This window comes from Homo sapiens, chromosome 11 (assembly GCF_000001405.40).
Source record: "Homo sapiens chromosome 11, GRCh38.p14 Primary Assembly".
Lineage (NCBI taxonomy): Eukaryota > Metazoa > Chordata > Mammalia > Primates > Hominidae > Homo > Homo sapiens.
The window spans coordinates 49,160,765-49,177,854 of record NC_000011.10 but is presented as its reverse complement, the minus strand read 5'-3'; the positions used below and the strand labels follow the sequence as shown (position 1 = coordinate 49,177,854).

Below are 17,090 nucleotides of genomic sequence, written 5' to 3'. Positions count from 1 at the left end.
AATAGCTGGGATTACAGGCATGTGCCACCATGCCCGGCTCATTTTTTGCCTTTTTTTTTTTTTTTTTTTAGTAGAGACGGGGTTTCTCCATGTTGGTCGGGCTGATCTCAAACTCCCGACCTCAGGTGATCCGCTTGCCTCGCCCTCCCAAAGTGCTGGGATTACAGGCGTGAGCCACCGCGCCCGGCTCCAGGTAGCCCTTTACTATTGGCACAGCTGCCAGCATTCTCCCGCACTTTCAGCTTGCTAATCTATGTTTGCAGCTCGATTTTTCAGGCTGCTTTTTGTTAGAAAAAAAAAATAATTTATTGGGCTGCTTTTTGTTAGAAGGGAAGCTCTGCTGAGGACTCTGTTGCCCCCATTATCTGCTTACTAAATTTCTTTCTACCTCCTGTATCAATATTTTATGTATAATTAAGTATATGTATATTCTTTACTTGCCTTTTGCAAATTTTCTGTTTATTTAATACTCTGCTGTTTTGGCTATGTATTGTGCTTTCTACCAATGTAAAATGCCTCTTCATGTTGCTTGATGCTTTATACGTGGCATTTTATTGTAAATAGTTTAAATAAATTTTATAATACATTACTTGAAATTCTGTTTAATATACAAACTCCTTAGTGAAAAAGGGAAAAGAGAGAGGAATTATTTACACTTTGATAGAGCATTTTAAAACGAGATGTTAATTCTAATGAATTTTCCACGAGAAAGTGATCTTACTGATTGTTTCCTTATTGCATGTGCAGTAGATTCTAGGTTAAGTTGAGCTATTCATATTTCCTCAAACAGGTAGACAGGGAACAAGCACCCGTGTACAGGCACAGAAGAAAACAGGACATGACAGAGCATGCTGCACCGCACAGCCTGGAGTGCATGAGGGTGCGTGACCGCAGAGAAAGCCTTACAGGACAGATTGAAATTCTCCACTTTTGATTTCATAACTAAACATCTCAGTATAATATCAGATAATGACATTTATTTTTCCAGGCCATTATTTAAGTGGAGCTGGGTTTAAGGTTTGGAGTATTGTTAAGGAACAAAATGCCCGTGGTAGGCCCAAAGAAGTCTGTTTTTGCCTTACAGCTGGATTTTCATAAAAATATAGTTACAATTAAGGTCGAGATTATTCAGTTTGAACACTCAGTCTCTTAAGTTTGTCTGGAAACACATTTGTCTCTCTGTAGCTGTTTAGTAAAAGTATATTGTTTTACATGCCCATATCAAGAATAAGTTAATCCATCATCTTAATACAGTAAAGGCAGATATGTTGAAGTGAAACTACAAGAACCCCACCATTTCATAAACATTACCATGTTTTCTTTCTCAGTCACCTGCTGAAAGATAACCAGGGACCATGGCATATACTGGGTGGTCTGCCTGAATCTTTATTTCTGAATTTTAAAAAATAGCGTGAAGCTTTTAGGGGCTTCTGAAATGAAATCCTTTCTTTTGATCCTCCTGTCTTCTTAGTAGGTGTGTATGAAAGTACTTTGTAAAAAATAACTATATACCAGTGAGACAAATAAGAATGGAAAATTTCAGAGAGTTAGACATCAAGCTCTTTCTTCAGCACATGCTCTGGAAAGCACTTTTAGATTTACTACTAGATACTGGTAAGGCAGATCAAATTCTTATCAATAATTTGAATCTTAATTATACCATTTACTAGTTGCATGACTTTGGGCATGTTATCTAAGCCTCCTGTGCCCCATCTGTGAAGTGGAGGTAGCAATTCCTCAGAATTATGGTAAGGTTTAAATGACGTATTATATTCAAAGCACTTTGCACTCATTAAAGATATTATGAGCAGATGCTCAATAAAGTGAATCCATTAACATTTTAATGCGTTACTTCAAGGTTTTTTTGTGGCTAATAATGTTTTTTTGTGTCCAATAGAAAAATGGGTGGCTCAGCACCACCAGATAGCAGCTGGAGAGGAAGTCTCAAAGTGCCCTACAATGTTGGACCTGGCTTTACTGGAAACTTTTCTACACAGTTAAGAGACTATTTTAATTTTAACTCTTTTAAGGGGGAGACTTAAAGAAAAAAATACTATAGAGGATGACAGAAAAAGTAAAATTTATGTAATACCAGCAGGAAACAAAACTGCAAGTTAGAACCAGTGTAATTTTTGCCTGTGAACAATTAGAAATCTTTAAGCAAGATTGAAGATTTAAAAATTATGAGTGTTGCTGGAACTCAGAAAATGAATAACCCAAAGTATGGTGTTTTGACATGCTGAGCACTTTGAACTAAAGGATAAAAGTCCTTAGATGCAGCTTCAGAATCAATAATTCTGACCTCTTACTTCACCCCACAAGAGCAGAGTGTAAGTTTCTCTCTGAAGTTCCCTTATCTGAAGCTCCTGCAGAAGGAAGACAATGACTTTCCTTCCCCTCCCTGAAATTTTATTAACCAGGGAAGATTGAACTCATGTAGTGGGAAGGAAGACTGAGGCATATCACTTTATCTGCACAGGCTTTGTCACAAGCTGTTGACTGTTCTCTAGTTCCATTCAAGTTCCAAAGAGAATTATTTATAAACTATTGCCTGCTCTTTGGGCCCATTTAACTCTCTTGAAAACCATTTACCACCCCTCAAAACCACCTGCACTCCCCCACTTCCCCCTCCTCTATGAAGAGGGTGCTAGTTAAACTTTAGCCATTTGGCCTTTGTTTGAGTCTCATATTTTGTTTGGCTCCTGTATACACTGGTGTGTTAGTAAGTTTGTATGCCTTTTCTCCTGTTAATCAGTTTTCAGTTTATTTTACCAGACTTGAACCTTCAAAGGCAGAGGGGAAAATTCCCTTAAACCTTATAGTGTTAATCTGTTAACCAGTTTTTTTTTTTAAGAATGTCTTTTATTTTTGCATTAGAAAAGTCAAGATGCACATCCACTCTACCAATGAAGTGACAAGAATTTACAATGTGATAGGTACTCTCAGAGGAGCAGTGGAACCAGGTAAAGGAATCGTTTGCTTAGCAAATATTGATCAAGTAACTGTTATGTGCTGGATACTACCAAGCTCTGGGAGTGCAAAGTGAATCAAAACAAACAAACAAACAAACAAACGAAGAAAATCGGTGGAACTCACCTAAAAACAAAGGAAATAAGTATGAAATAATTTTGTATTGTGGTACAGGTGGTGAATAAAAGTGAATGTTTGGTGCTAGGCTGGGCAGATGACCAAGGTGAATGATAAATTGTGCAGGCCTCAATTAAAGGATCAAGGGAAGCAGGGTAGGGAAAGATGTGTTTTCTTCCGAGTTTTCTGAATTTTTTTTTACCATATTTTTGCATAAATATCTTCATGATAACTATAAACATCTATATAAAATATCACACTCTTAGAAAATTAAGATAATCTTGTATTAATGAATCCTTTCATAGTTTTATTTTCTACCACTAAAGCCACTGATAAAATATATGGACATATGATTTCCATAGAAGTTCAGATGATCTACTGATTAATACATTTTATACATAGTCTTAGTTCATGAAGGCTCAGTTTCTTATGAACTATTTTGTTCTGTATTTCTTACCAAAACAGATACTATTAAATGCATATTAAACATATTAATTGCATGTTTCTTACAAGCAGCCAGTGATTTATTTTAGATCAAGAATATTGATATCCTTGTTGTTTGCATATTCTAAAGAGTACTAAACAATATATAAGTGGCTACTGTTGAATAATACCGAGTACCTATTTTGTGCCAGTTCCATGATAAGCATTGGAAATGGGGAGATAAAAGAAGACACAGACCCAAGACAAACAACTGACAGTTTGTGAAGGGAGCCATATGCTTAAGGGTGATCAATGCTTTATCACTCCTGAGAGCTGGGTAGGCAAAGAAATTCCCTCTTCTATAGAAAATACTTGAGCTGTACTTTAAAAACTGCATAGAGGGAGAAAATATTTGAGCTGTACCTTAAAAACTGAATGGAGGGAGAAAATATTTGAGCTGTACCTTAAAAACTGAATAGAAAGAATAGGAATTGGAGAACTTCCTATGTGGCCACTATGTTCTCTTACTTTGAATATATTAGAAAGTGGTAAGTTAGGTAAGAGAAGTAATAGAGTTACAAAAAATGTGAACAAGGATAACCTTAAACTTTCTTAATTACTTAATGTAGTACTTATAATTATAGTAATACATTGAAATATATATTTGCTTTATCACATTTATGCTTTCTCAGATAGAAGAAACACATATTAAAATCAGAAATAACATATTTTCACAAATCTTGGGGAACCTAGCCTTTTTTTTTTTTCTGAGGCGTGAGTGCTTTGTATTTAGATGCTATTGAGTCATTTGCAATTTTCTCTTTTATTGACCTGAAATGACAAATAATCTTGTATCTATGCTTTCTAGACAGATATGTCATTCTGGGAGGTCACCGGGACTCATGGGTGTTTGGTGGTATTGACCCTCAGAGTGGAGCAGCTGTTGTTCATGAAATTGTGAGGAGCTTTGGAACACTGAAAAAGGAAGGTAATACAAACAAACAGCAAGAAAAAAAACAGCCTATCTGAGTCTCAGTTTAGTCTTCTGTAAAGGGAGTATAAAAATACTACCTCAACCATTACATGTGTTTGGTAAAAATACTAATACAATTTTCAGTGTTGGTTGGTTAATTATATTGTTTATTTATTTTTGCATTTATTTATATAACACATATATTATTGATATTTATGTATTAAGTGATAATCTGAAATAAAGGAATTATACTGTTAATGGTTGTTCTTGGCAACTAAGAAGATGAAGATGGGTTACATCACTAGAGAAAACACACTGAAATTAGATTATAAGCCAAAGCTTCCTAGTCAGAGACTGTAAGCAGACGTTCCTCCGTCTCTTCTAACCCCAGACCTCAGATTACGTGTACAAAGTAATTAAGGAGATAGATGCTCTATTCAGAGAAATACAGGTCTTAGGTCTAATGGGATTCTGTCAAAAGTTTGGAATCTGTGTTCTCACATCCTGAGCCCTGGTGTGCTCTCACAAAAATTAGGTTTACACTCGTAACATCACCACTTTAGTCATTTTAGAATCTTCATATGAAAGCCAAAGTAAAATTTAGTTCAAATGTTTGCTTTTTAAAATAATAATTACACATTGAGAGCAGGAAGTTCATTCTCTTTATTGACCCTGCAAACAAGGTGTCTGGGGCTGTAAAATGTAATCTATATATTTTTATCAACCATAAAAACAATAATGTATGTTGTTTGCATAGTATTTACTTTTTTTTTGAGAAACTTTTTATATGTCCTATCTTCTTTGAAGTCATAGCAACTAGGGAGAAGACATATTTACTTATCTTCTCATGTTACAGATAGGTTAACCAAGGTTTAGAGAATCAAGTAATTTCCCCAGGATTATGTAGCTAGCATGTGGCAGCATAAGAGAATCAGGGCTGAAACTCAAATTTCTCACTACCAGTCCTCAAAACCATGATGTCTCTATTTAAAATAAAATGTAAAGGCGCTCAGTTCTTTTTTCTACACAGCTATCTTATATTTGAAGAAAACAAACAATGGAGACCTAAATTTACATAATTCATGAAGTAGGTAGTGTTTAATTTTATTACAAAAATGTTTCATGATTTTTCTAGGAAATTCCTGTGGTAACTATACAAAACATCACTGTGACAATTACAGAATATGCCAAAGAAATGGAATGCTGATGAATAATAATAGGAAATTTGAATAATACTATTGACAAAAACAAAAGACTCGAGTTAACAGCTATAGTATACACATTCTTAAGCACACATGAATATTTACTAAGATGATGACTACTCGCAATTTTGAAAGCACCTACTCAGTGCTTTCTAAACATTATTCCATTTAATCCTCCCACAATCAAGTGGTGTCTTCATCTTTACTCTCTTGTTCCTTGTATACAGATGAAGAAATGGAAGTTTAGTAGGTTTGAATAACTTTCCCTCAGTCACGCTGCTAGTGAGAGAACCAGGGTTTGAAACAAGATCTTGCCTTAACTCCAAGGTCAGTGTTTATAACCTCCGAGACACATCACCCCTCTGCTGAATTATGTGGTTTTCAGCAACAGCAAACATTGCTGTTGCTAACTGAGCCCTTGTTGATTAATTCTGGCAGAGAATGGTGTGAAATCATACGGACCAGCTGATATTGAACAATTGTTCATTTGATGTCAGAACAACAGGAAAGAGTTCTAAAGGATTTTCTTTCAGTTATATCTGCTTTCAGAATACCAAATGCATCTAGAAATTTCTTTCTTTGTTCTAGGCAGTTGCAGACCACCAATGACTTCCTATGCATAGCGAATCATTATAAACCTATTAGAATGTTTTATGATCTTGCAAGATTTTTACTGTCACATGTCCCCCCTTTTCTATGTAATTGTGCTATTTTGTATTGACAACTTTAAAATCTTACAAAAAAAGTTACGTAAGTAAAGATTTTTTACTACAATTTGCCCTTCCCAAACCATCAATGACTTTTTTTTTTTTTTTTCCAATCTGGGCTTGGTAGTGTCCTGGGTATATTATGAATTTTTTTTCTATCATTTATATATACACATACATTTTAGGGTGGAGACCTAGAAGAACAATTTTGTTTGCAAGCTGGGATGCAGAAGAATTTGGTCTTCTTGGTTCTACTGAGTGGGCAGAGGTTAGTTGGTAATTTGCTATAATATAAATTTTTATAAAATAAAGTAGCCAGGACTTATTTGCCAAGCACATAAAAATAAGAAGTGAATATAATGAGAAAGTATTCAAAGTTTTTTCCCCAAAATCTGAAGTAACATATTCTTGTTCAAAAATCAGCAATAAAAATCTCTGTTGCTAAAGAACTAAGTTTTGTTTGAACCTTTTAGAGCCACTTAATGTCAATTGTCAAAATTAATTTATCTTTATTTCCTGGGAGTATGAGAGTAAATAAGTAGATATGCTAGAAACCAAACATCAAAACAAGGAGTTAGTTTCTTAATCATATTGTAGTTTATTCTTCAAAATATTGTCTTAGCAAACATGAACGACTTAACAGACTTTTCAGTGAATATCTTGCCATAAACATGTCATTTAAATGGAGAATCTTGTCTGATTCAAAGGGAATTAAGCTATTTCAAATTTATGAAAAATATGAAGTTAAATTGTCTCTATTTCCTGACCATGAAGCCAAATTTTCCTGTATCATGTTTGATTTCTATCATGATTCTATTACGCTTTCCAAAATATCTCCTAAAGCTAACTATACAGAGTCTCGCTCTGTTGCCCAGGCTGGAGTACAGTGATGTGATTTCTGCTCACTGAAGCGTCAGCATCCCGGGTTCAAGCAATTCTCCTGCCCTAGGCTCCTGAGTAGCTGGGATTACAGGCATGTGCCACCACACCTGGCTAATTTTTTTATGTTTAATAGAGACAGGGTTTTGCTGTGTTGGCCAGGCTGGCCTCAAACTCCTGAGCTTAAGTGATATGCCTGCCTCGGCCTCCCAAAGTGCTAGGAATACAGGCGTGCGTCACCATGCCTGGCCGTAAGGTATACTTTTCATTTATCTTTCTTAATTCATAATGACCTGCTCTATGTTAAATTATGCTAAAAGTAAGGCAGAAATTTCCACCACAGAATATTTACTAAGCCATTTGAAAAGTAATTTTACCTGCATGTATTGTTGGCTTTATATAACAGAAACGTTAGCTATAAAGTAAATATATGCAAAGTCAATGTTTATTCCATTAATTTCCAGTCATGCTGTAAATATTTACTGGCTCCTTTCATACTCCAGATATTATGTGAAACCCTGTGGACTTTAATTTTCTTTGAAAAAAAAAATGGTGCTCCTGTAGACTTAGTCAAAGTTTTATAAGAAAGAATTTTGCCACTATCTGGAAGAACCTAATATTTTGACGGTGTAATTTGTGTCTTTCAAATTATTTTTTTCACTTACAGTTGTATTTTTTTCATTTTTTATCTTATAGTCAGAATGCTTAGGAAATTATGTATTTTAGAGACTCAGAATTCACATTGATATCTCAAAAAAACTTTGCTACGCTTTGTTCTAAAAGTGTGCAATTATCAATATTGACCAGGAGATGGTACCATCCTACAGGAGAGCCTGACTTCTGGTCAGGAGATGATTTAAGTTCACTTATTTTTCGTAACATGAAATTTAACTTAAAATTTCATACACTTAAAATACCTTCATTCCATATGAATCAGACAAGATTCTCTGCTTAAATAATGAGATGTTTATAGGAAGATTTTCACTGAAAAGTCTCTTAGGTCATTCATGTTTGCTAAGACAACTTTTTGAAAGATAAACTACAGTATGGTTAAGAAATTAACTCATTTTCCACTTACCATAAGTATATGGACAATTTCATCTTAAATATTAGCTTTTAACAAGTTTTGCTTGTTGTTTCCTACGAGTAATCTTTATTGAAATTCTTTCAAAGCAGCTCTTTTATGAGAATTTCTTATGTCAAATTTGTCGTTAATATGGGTCAGCTCAATTAGAAATCTACATACATTAAATGTAGATGTGCATTTTGTGGGGGAGGGGGAGTGGGTTATAACTTTATATTTATAGTTTTCCTTTTTATTATAGGAGAATTCAAGACTCCTTCAAGAGCGTGGCGTGGCTTATATTAATGCTGACTCATCTATAGAAGGTGAATATCGTTGGTCTCATAAGAAAAGATGTGATTAAACTAGGAGCAGCAGTCTAGTTAATAAATTATGCACTAACAAGGAAGGCTATGCATTAATGTGTGGTTAGGGAATCTACTGCAACCTCTGACAGGAAGCAGTGTATGAACCCTAGTTGAGAGTTGGGTGAGCCCTAGGTGAACAGGTGTTTCTTTTCTTCTTTCCTTTCCTTTTGTTTTCTTTTCTCTTTTCTTTTCTTTCTTTTCTTACTTTTTTTTTGCTTTGAAGTATAGAGTACTAATTCAGAAAAGCAGCATTCTTTGATTAGCTTCATCTGGCAGATTTCTTTTTATATACAGCAGGAATTTAGTAAGTATCTGTTGAATGATTAACTCAGGGACCTAAAGAGTTCTATAATTTAGAATGGTGTAGAAAAAAAGTATCATTTGTGGGGTGCGGTGGCTCACGCCTGTAATCGCAGCACTTTGGGAGGCTGAAGCGGGTGGATCACTTCAGGTCAGGATTTCGAAACCAGCCTGGCCAACATGGTGAAACCCCATAGCTATTACAAATGCAAAAATTAGCCGGGCGTGGTGGCGCACTCAGTATAGATAATATACTAAATCAATCTTGAATTATAATGTATGCAGGTACTTTAGAAAGGGTAGGATAAAACCACTCTGGGAGTTCAGAGGAAAGAATAATAGAAACTTCAGGAAAGGCTTGAGAAAGGGAATAGGCATTTGAGGCTGACTTTGAAGAATGGAAATATATTTAATAAGCAAAGGACCAAACTAAAGGAAATCTCAGATTGATTTTCATGAAAATGAAAGAGTCCATTTTCACTACAATCCAGCTCCACTAATATATCTATATCTTGACCATATGCAACATCCCAGCCATTGCTCTCCTGTTCTCTACACTCAGATTGCTCTTCAACACCTCTTTATGTGTTTAATCCTTATCCTTAGACCCTCCTTTGAAATGTTACTTTTTCAGGGAAGACATGTCTTCATGGCACTCATCACTGTCATTATTAAGTAATTATTTGTTTTACAAGTAATAGACTGTATTCTTTAACAAGGAACAGACAGTATCTTGCTTATTCACTCCTAGATTCCTAACGTCTTATTAAATAAATATTTGTGGTATGGTTGCAAAAAAAAAAAAAAAGGACTAAATGAATGAAGGGGGAATTTTTTAGAATATTTTCTTTAGTGTATTAGTAAATTTGCCATGTCAACACTTGGAACATGAGACCTTGATGGAGTCACGTTGGCATTTTCTTTTTCTGGTTTTTTTGTGTGTGTTTTTTTGTTTCTGTTCTTTTTCTGTTTTTTGTTTGTTTGTTTTTTTTTTCTGTTTCTGTTCTTCTTCTGTTTTTTTGTTTGTCTGCTTGTTTGTTTTGAGTCAGGGTCTCACTCCGCAGCCCAGGTTGGAGTGCGTGGAGCGATCATGGCTCACTAGTCTTGATTTCCCAGGCTCAAGTGATCCTCCAACCTCAGCCTCCTTGGTAGCTGGGACTACAGGCAAACGCTAGACATCCAGCTAATTTTTGTATTTTTAGTGGAGATGACATTTGACCATATTACCCAGGTTGGTCTCAAACTCCTGGGCTCAAGCTGTCTATCCACATTGTTCTCCCAAAATGCTAGGATTACGGGTCTGAGCCACAGCTCCCAACCTTCCTTTTCTTCTTTGTCAATGCCTCTGAGCTACACTGTTCTGAAAGTTAGTTTACACAGTGCATTTGGTTATTCTTTTCTCCTTCTCTTAGGGTAGTGGCTAAGAGCTTGACCTTTGGCGTCAGATGCCTGGATTCATTCCTGGCCCTGCAACTTCCTATTTGTGTGACCCAAGCTACTTACTTTCTGTGCCTCAGTTTTCTCACTTCTAAATATAACTTCTAAGAGCTCCTATCTCAAAGGCTCCTGTAAGGGCAAAAAAAGTTACATTTGCAAATCTCCCAGACCTGTGCCTTGCACAGAGTAAATGTCAAAAAAAGTTAACTTTGATTAGTATCATTACACCTACTTAAAACACATAAGGTGAAATATATACATGTATATATATGTATATTATATGCCCACCCAGAATAAATACTCCAAATATATTTTCTTGAAACATAGAATAACGTTCTCTTTATTGATAGTTTTTTTCTGTTTTTTTTTGTTGTTGTTGTTGTTGTTATTGTTGTTTTGAAATGAGATCTTGTAGTATTGTCCAGGATAGTTTCAAACTCCTGAGCTCAACTGATCCTCCCCCGTCAGCCTCCCAAGTAGCTGGGAAAACAGGTGTGTGGCACCATACTTGGCCATAGTTTTTTAAGATTTGATATTTTAATGTATTTTAAAAACTCATTAAGCTTTGCTACTTATGTCATCCCTGGCTTGAAATTGCTCCATTGTGTCTCTATAATTTTCAAAATCGAGAACAAAGGACAGGAGGTACTATATGATTGGGACACCATTCATCTCACTTGTTTTATATTTTTACATTGTATTAATGTTTCTTTCTCAAATAATACAAATAATCATAGATTCTGAAATTTCTAATGTTAAAATGTAAAATGTACAAATAAAGCGAAACTCCCCAATGCAAACTACTCTCAAACTTAGTCCTCTCTCCAAAGGTATTACTGTCCTCAGTTTTGGGTGTTTCCATCATGTTGGCATTAATATATAGAATTTAGCTTCACAAAGCACCAAGAGCGTAGTGGGTGCTATCTCAGGTGCTTTACACGTAAAAAAATTATTCAGTACTCACAATAACTCTCTGAGATAAGTAAGTAAATATTTTTATTATCCCTTTTGTATAAAAGAAGAAACTGACACTCAGAGAGGTTAAGTAATTTTCCCAAGGCCACACAGCTAGTGAAGGGTTGAGCTTAGACTCAAATCAGACTGGTCTGTTCCAACTTTACCCCTCTAACCACTACACTCTATTGTCTCTCACCACCTTATACAGGTATTTGGTATCATATTACAGCTAAATGCTTCTACAACTTGCCTTTTTCATTCAGCAACACATTATGAAAAACTTTCCATATCAGCACATATCTCGGTTTCACTTAAAAAACAAACACTACCACCAGACAACAAAAATCTACAATGTATTCAATAGGACAAATTTTGTATCAGTTTTCTAGCTGCTGGACAGCTTGCTTCAGTTTGTTGTGGTTAATATTATTTTATTTGCATGCTTTTTTGGTATAATGTGAGGAGAGGGTAGAGAGCTACAAGTATATTTATTTGGTCTTCAGATGTGGGCAATTAAATTGTAATAAATGCTGCCAAACTACTCCACTCCCCAATTTCCACTCTTATAAGCACTTCTGTTTTAAAAATTACATTGGCTGTTTGTACATATTTATTCTTCCAGATAAATTTTAGAATCTAAAATCAAATCTTTAAGTTCCATAAACAATTCTGTTGTGGTGTCACTATTTTAAAAGCCTCAACTTTTGCTGTTCTCAAACATGGATCCGAGGCTTTGGGATAAAAGCTAGTTGCCATCCTCTGAGTGTTTCATGTGCTTTTACATTTCTGGGCATTCGCACAGGCTATGCCTTTAGCTGCAAATACCATTTTTCCCCCCAACTGTGTCCTGGTTCTAGAAAACCCAGTTCAAGAGTCCCCTCTCCAAGTTTGTGAATTTGTCTTGACTTCCCTCCCCCAAAACTCCTCCTGAGTCAGCAGCCCCTCCCTGTGCTGTGTTGGCTTCCCAAGAACACCTCTCCTGGGTGCTTCACTTGATTGTCACAACCACCAGCCCCCTCCTGAGGAATGGGGACTGAAACTCTAAGAAGAGCACCTGGTTCACAAATTCATTGTTACAACAAATATTGATTGGTTAAATGCCAGATTCTAGGATTGTTCTAAACACTTGGGGTATGGCAGCAAACAAGAGAGTGCACCTTATCCCAGGGGACTTATCGTCTAGTGGGAGGGCCAATAATAAAAAGACAAGTACTTAATATGTTTTATGTTAAATAGATGAGTAATATAGAGAAACAAGAGCCAAGGTTAAAAGAGAGAGTGGCTAAAATTAGGGGGTAAGAGAGTGCTATTTTAGGTAGGGTGATCAGGGGAAATCTCTCAGAAAAACATGACATTAGACCAGAGGAGGAGGAGTAAGTCATGCAGATATAATGCAGAATACTGTTCCAGGCTGGAAGGACAGTGTGTGCAAAGATGCTGAGGGAGTATTCTTGGGCAGAATGTAAAATGCAGATTTTGAGAGGTGACCTAGGGTTTCATATATGGCAGTGTGGGCCATGGTGAGAATGATGGACTTTACAGAGTTAGTTGGGAAGCCATTGGAGAGTTACAGTTGAAATCAGGTTTTAAAACAATCATTCTGGTAGGAATTTAGCAGTGGTCTTTGAAGAAAATAATAACAGAAAGAAATTAAATTTTAAAATCTATTCTTTTCTTATTTTTCAGGAAACTACACTCTGAGAGTTGATTGTACACCGCTGATGTACAGCTTGGTACACAACCTAACAAAAGAGGTATATAATTACATATAATTTAAGAAAACCCAAATTCTACAAATGATGTTTTCTTGAGGTATTATGTTAAACATAGGTGGTGTTTTATAACTTCTTGTCTTCATTTCATATAACATATATGACATCACATCTTCACAGACCATCACATCTAGTAAACTGTTTACACAGATTGCCTCATTTCTCACCACACCAGTGTGAGGTAGCCCATTAGTAGCATCATGTCTACCATCTCCATTCTTAAAACAGTGAAACTGAGCTCAAAGAACATTGGCCACCAAAGTCACACACAACTTGTACGGTAGCCGAACCAAGACTTGGTCCTATGGCTCAACTCCTTAATTAAAAAACTTGTTTATACTCTTCAGTATAGTGATACCAATTAATTCAGAACACAGGAATCATTAAATGTTCTAACTGATTGAGAAAGAATATTCATAAGAATACCAGGTGCTGGCTTCCAGGGACAGAGGCTAGATGAGATCACAATTACATTTTTTCAGATAGGGATTATAAATAAAATTTAAATGCCATTAAGCTTTGGTTTCAAAAGAATGGAATGGAGGAGTGACCAAGATGACTGACTAGAAGCAACTATGGTGTGTGGCTCTCACAAAGAGAAATTGAAGGGGCAAGTAAATACAGCACCTTCAACTGAAACGAGCAGATACTCACATTGGGACTAATCAAGGAAACAACCCAACCCAAGGAGAATGGAGAAAAGCAAGGCAGGACGATGGCCCACCTGGGAATGACACAGAGTCAAGGGAACCTCCCCCACCCAGGAAAATGATGAGCGAATGTGCAACCCCAGGAAACCATGCTTTTTCCATGGATCTTTGCAACGCTTAGGTCAGCAGATACCCTTGTGAACCCACTCCACCAGGGCCTTCAGTCTGATACACAGGTGCATGGAGTCTTAGCAGAACAGCCACTCAGGCATGCACAGAGACACAGGAGCTTTAGATACACCAGCTTTCCAGGCTTCATGGCAAAAGTAACTGCAACTCCAGCACAGCAGGAGGTTAGACCCCCATACATACCCATAAAAAAGAGGCTGAATTCAAGGGCCTGAGCAGTGATGGTCTGCAGGCCCCACTTCCACAGCACTTCACAGGATAAGACCCACTGGCTTGGATTTCCAGCCAGCCACTGGTAGCAGTGTTGTGCCTATCTGGGAAAGAGCTCTTGGGTGGTGGTGGGGGGCAGGGAGGTGGGGGTGGAGGGGTGGGCTGCCATCTTTGCTGTTTGGGTGGCTTAGCCATTCCCACCTTTAGGCTTTGGAGAGCCCAAGATGACTGGGGGTGGAAGCGGTACCCCAGCACAGCACAGTGGCCTCACAAAAACGTGGCCAGACTTCCTTATAAAGCAGATCCCCAACTACGTTCCTCATCAATGGGTGGAGCCTCCCAACTAGGGTTTCTGGCTACCCCCACTGGTGTTCTCTGGCTAACAGAGGTTTTAGGACACCCTGGGATGGAGCTGCCAGGAGGAGGGGCAAACCACCATCTTTGCTGTTTGGGTGACTTAGCCATCCCAGGTTTCAGACTTCGGAGTGTCCAAGACAACCGAGGGCTGAAGTGGACCCTCACCACAGCACAGTTGCTCTACAAAAACGTGGCCAGGCTACTTTTTAAACTGGGTCCCTGATCCTTTTCCTCCTGTCTGGGTAAGACCTCCTAGTGGGGTCTCCAGCCACCTCCTACAGGTCTGTTCAGGCTGGCAACATGTCTATAACTCCCTTGGACGGAGGTCCTACAGTAAGAAGCAGGCTGCATTCTTTACTGTTTCACAGCCATCACCGATGATTCCTCCAGGTACTGTAAAATCTGAGGCAACTAGCGATTGGAGTCGACCCCCCAGCACAACACAGCAGCCCTGCAGAAAAGTGGCTAGACTGTTTAAAAAAAAAAAAAAGAAAAGAAAAAAAAGGACAAGCTCCACTCAAAGGTCACCAACCTCAAAGATTGAAGGCAGATAAGCCCACAAAGATGAGAAAGGATCAGTACAAGAACATTGAAAACTCAAAATGCCACAGTGCCCTCTTTCCTCCAAATGACTGCATCACTTCTCCAGCAAGGTTTCGGAACCGGGTTGAGGCTGAGATGCCTGAAATGACAGAAGTAGAATTCATAATATGGATAGGGACAAAGTTTACTGAGGTAAAGGAGCGTGTTGTAACCCAATTCTAGGAAGCTAAAAATCATGTTAAAACATTGCAGGAACTGACAGTAAAATGAGCCAGTTTAGAGAAGAATAGAGCTGAAAAATACTACAAATGCTGTCACAAGTATTGATAGCAGTATAGACCAAGTGAAGGAAAGAATCTTAGAGTTGAAGACTGTCTTTCTGAAATAATACAGGCAGACAAGAATAGAGAAAAAGGAATGAACAAAACCACCAAGAAATATGTGATTATGTGAAGAGACTGAATCTATGACTGATTGGTGTACTTGAAAGAGATAGGAAGAATGGAACCAGCTTGGAAAACATATTCCAGGATATAATCCATGAGAACTTTCCCAACATAGCTAGATAGGCCAACATTCAAATTCAGGAAATGCAGAGAACCTCAGTAAGATACTACTTGAGAAGATCATCCCCAAGACACATACTCATCAGATTCTCCAAGGACAAAATGAGAGAAAAAATGTTAAAGGCAGCTAGAGGGAAAGGCCAGGTTACCTACAAAGGGAAGCCCATCAGCCTAACAGTGGACCTCTCAGCTGAAACCCTGCAAGCCAGAAGAGATTGGAGGCCAATGTTCAACATTCTTAGAAAAAAGAAATTCCAATCCAGAATTTCATATCCGACCACATTAAGCTTTATACGTGAAGGAGAAATAAGATTCTTTCAAGACAAGCAAATGCTGAGGGAATTTGTTACCACCAGACCTGTCTTAACAAGAGTTATTGAGAGAAGTACTAAATATGGACAGGAAAGACTATCACCATCCACGACAAAAACACACTGAAGTACACAGACCAGTGATACTATAAAGCAATCACATAAGTCTGCAGAATAACCAGCTAACATCATGATGACAGGATCAAATCCACACATTTCAATTCTAATCTTATATGTAAATGGTCTAAATACACCAATTAAAATACATAGAGTGGCAAGCTGGATAAAGAACCAGGACCTATTGGTATCCTGTCTTCAAGAGACCCTTCTCATATGCAATGACACACATAAGTCAAAATAAATAGATGAAGGAAAGTCTACCAAGCAAATAGAAAACAGAAAAATGCAGGAGTTGCAATTCTAGTTTCTGACAAAACAGACTTTAAACCAACAAAGATAAAAAAAAAGACAAAGAAGGGCATCACGTAACGGTAAAGGATTCAATTCAACAAGAAGAGCTTACTGTCCTAAATATATATGCACATAACACAGGAGCACCCAGATTCATAAGGCAAGTTCTTAGAGACCTTCAAAGAGACTTAGACTCCCACACAATAATAGTGGTAGACTTTAACAGCCTATTGAAAATATTAATTAATTTTCAAGACATAAAATAACAAAGATATTCATGGCCTAAACTGAGTACTGGATCAAATGGACCTGATAGATATCTACAAAATTCTCCACCCAGAAACAACAGAATAGACATTCTTCTCATCAGCCCATGGCACTTACTCTAAAATTGATCACATAATTGGAAGTAAAACACTCCTCAGCAAAAGCAAAAGAAATGAAATTAAAAACGTCTCTTGTACTGCCGTGCAAATTCAAAATCAAGAGTAAGAAATTCACTCAAAACTATGCAATTCCATGGAAATTGAATAACCTGCTCCTGAATGACTTGTGGGTATATAATGAGATAAAAGCAGGAATCAAGAAGTTCTTTGAAACTAATGAGAACAAAGATATGACACACCAGAATCTCTGGGACACAGCTAAGGCAGAATTAAAAGGGAAATTTATAGCACTAAATGCC

At 37.1% G+C, this 17,090-nt stretch overlaps 1 protein-coding gene across 15 annotated transcripts in view; it reads left to right on the top strand.

Annotated features, from left to right (window-relative positions):
* FOLH1 (folate hydrolase 1) overlaps nt 1-17,090 on the top strand; it is a 63,511-nt gene that overhangs the window by 30,748 nt on the left and 15,673 nt on the right. For all 15 annotated transcript variants that reach the window (XM_047426681.1, XM_047426678.1, XM_017017434.2 and 12 more), the window contains 6 exons: nt 1,898-1,996; nt 2,878-2,963; nt 4,379-4,498; nt 6,578-6,660; nt 8,597-8,660; nt 13,083-13,150. In XM_047426681.1, the coding sequence (XP_047282637.1) occupies nt 1,898-1,996; nt 2,878-2,963; nt 4,379-4,498; nt 6,578-6,660; nt 8,597-8,660; nt 13,083-13,150 (520 nt within the window). The remainder of the gene's footprint in view (nt 1-1,897; nt 1,997-2,877; nt 2,964-4,378; nt 4,499-6,577; nt 6,661-8,596; nt 8,661-13,082; nt 13,151-17,090) is intronic.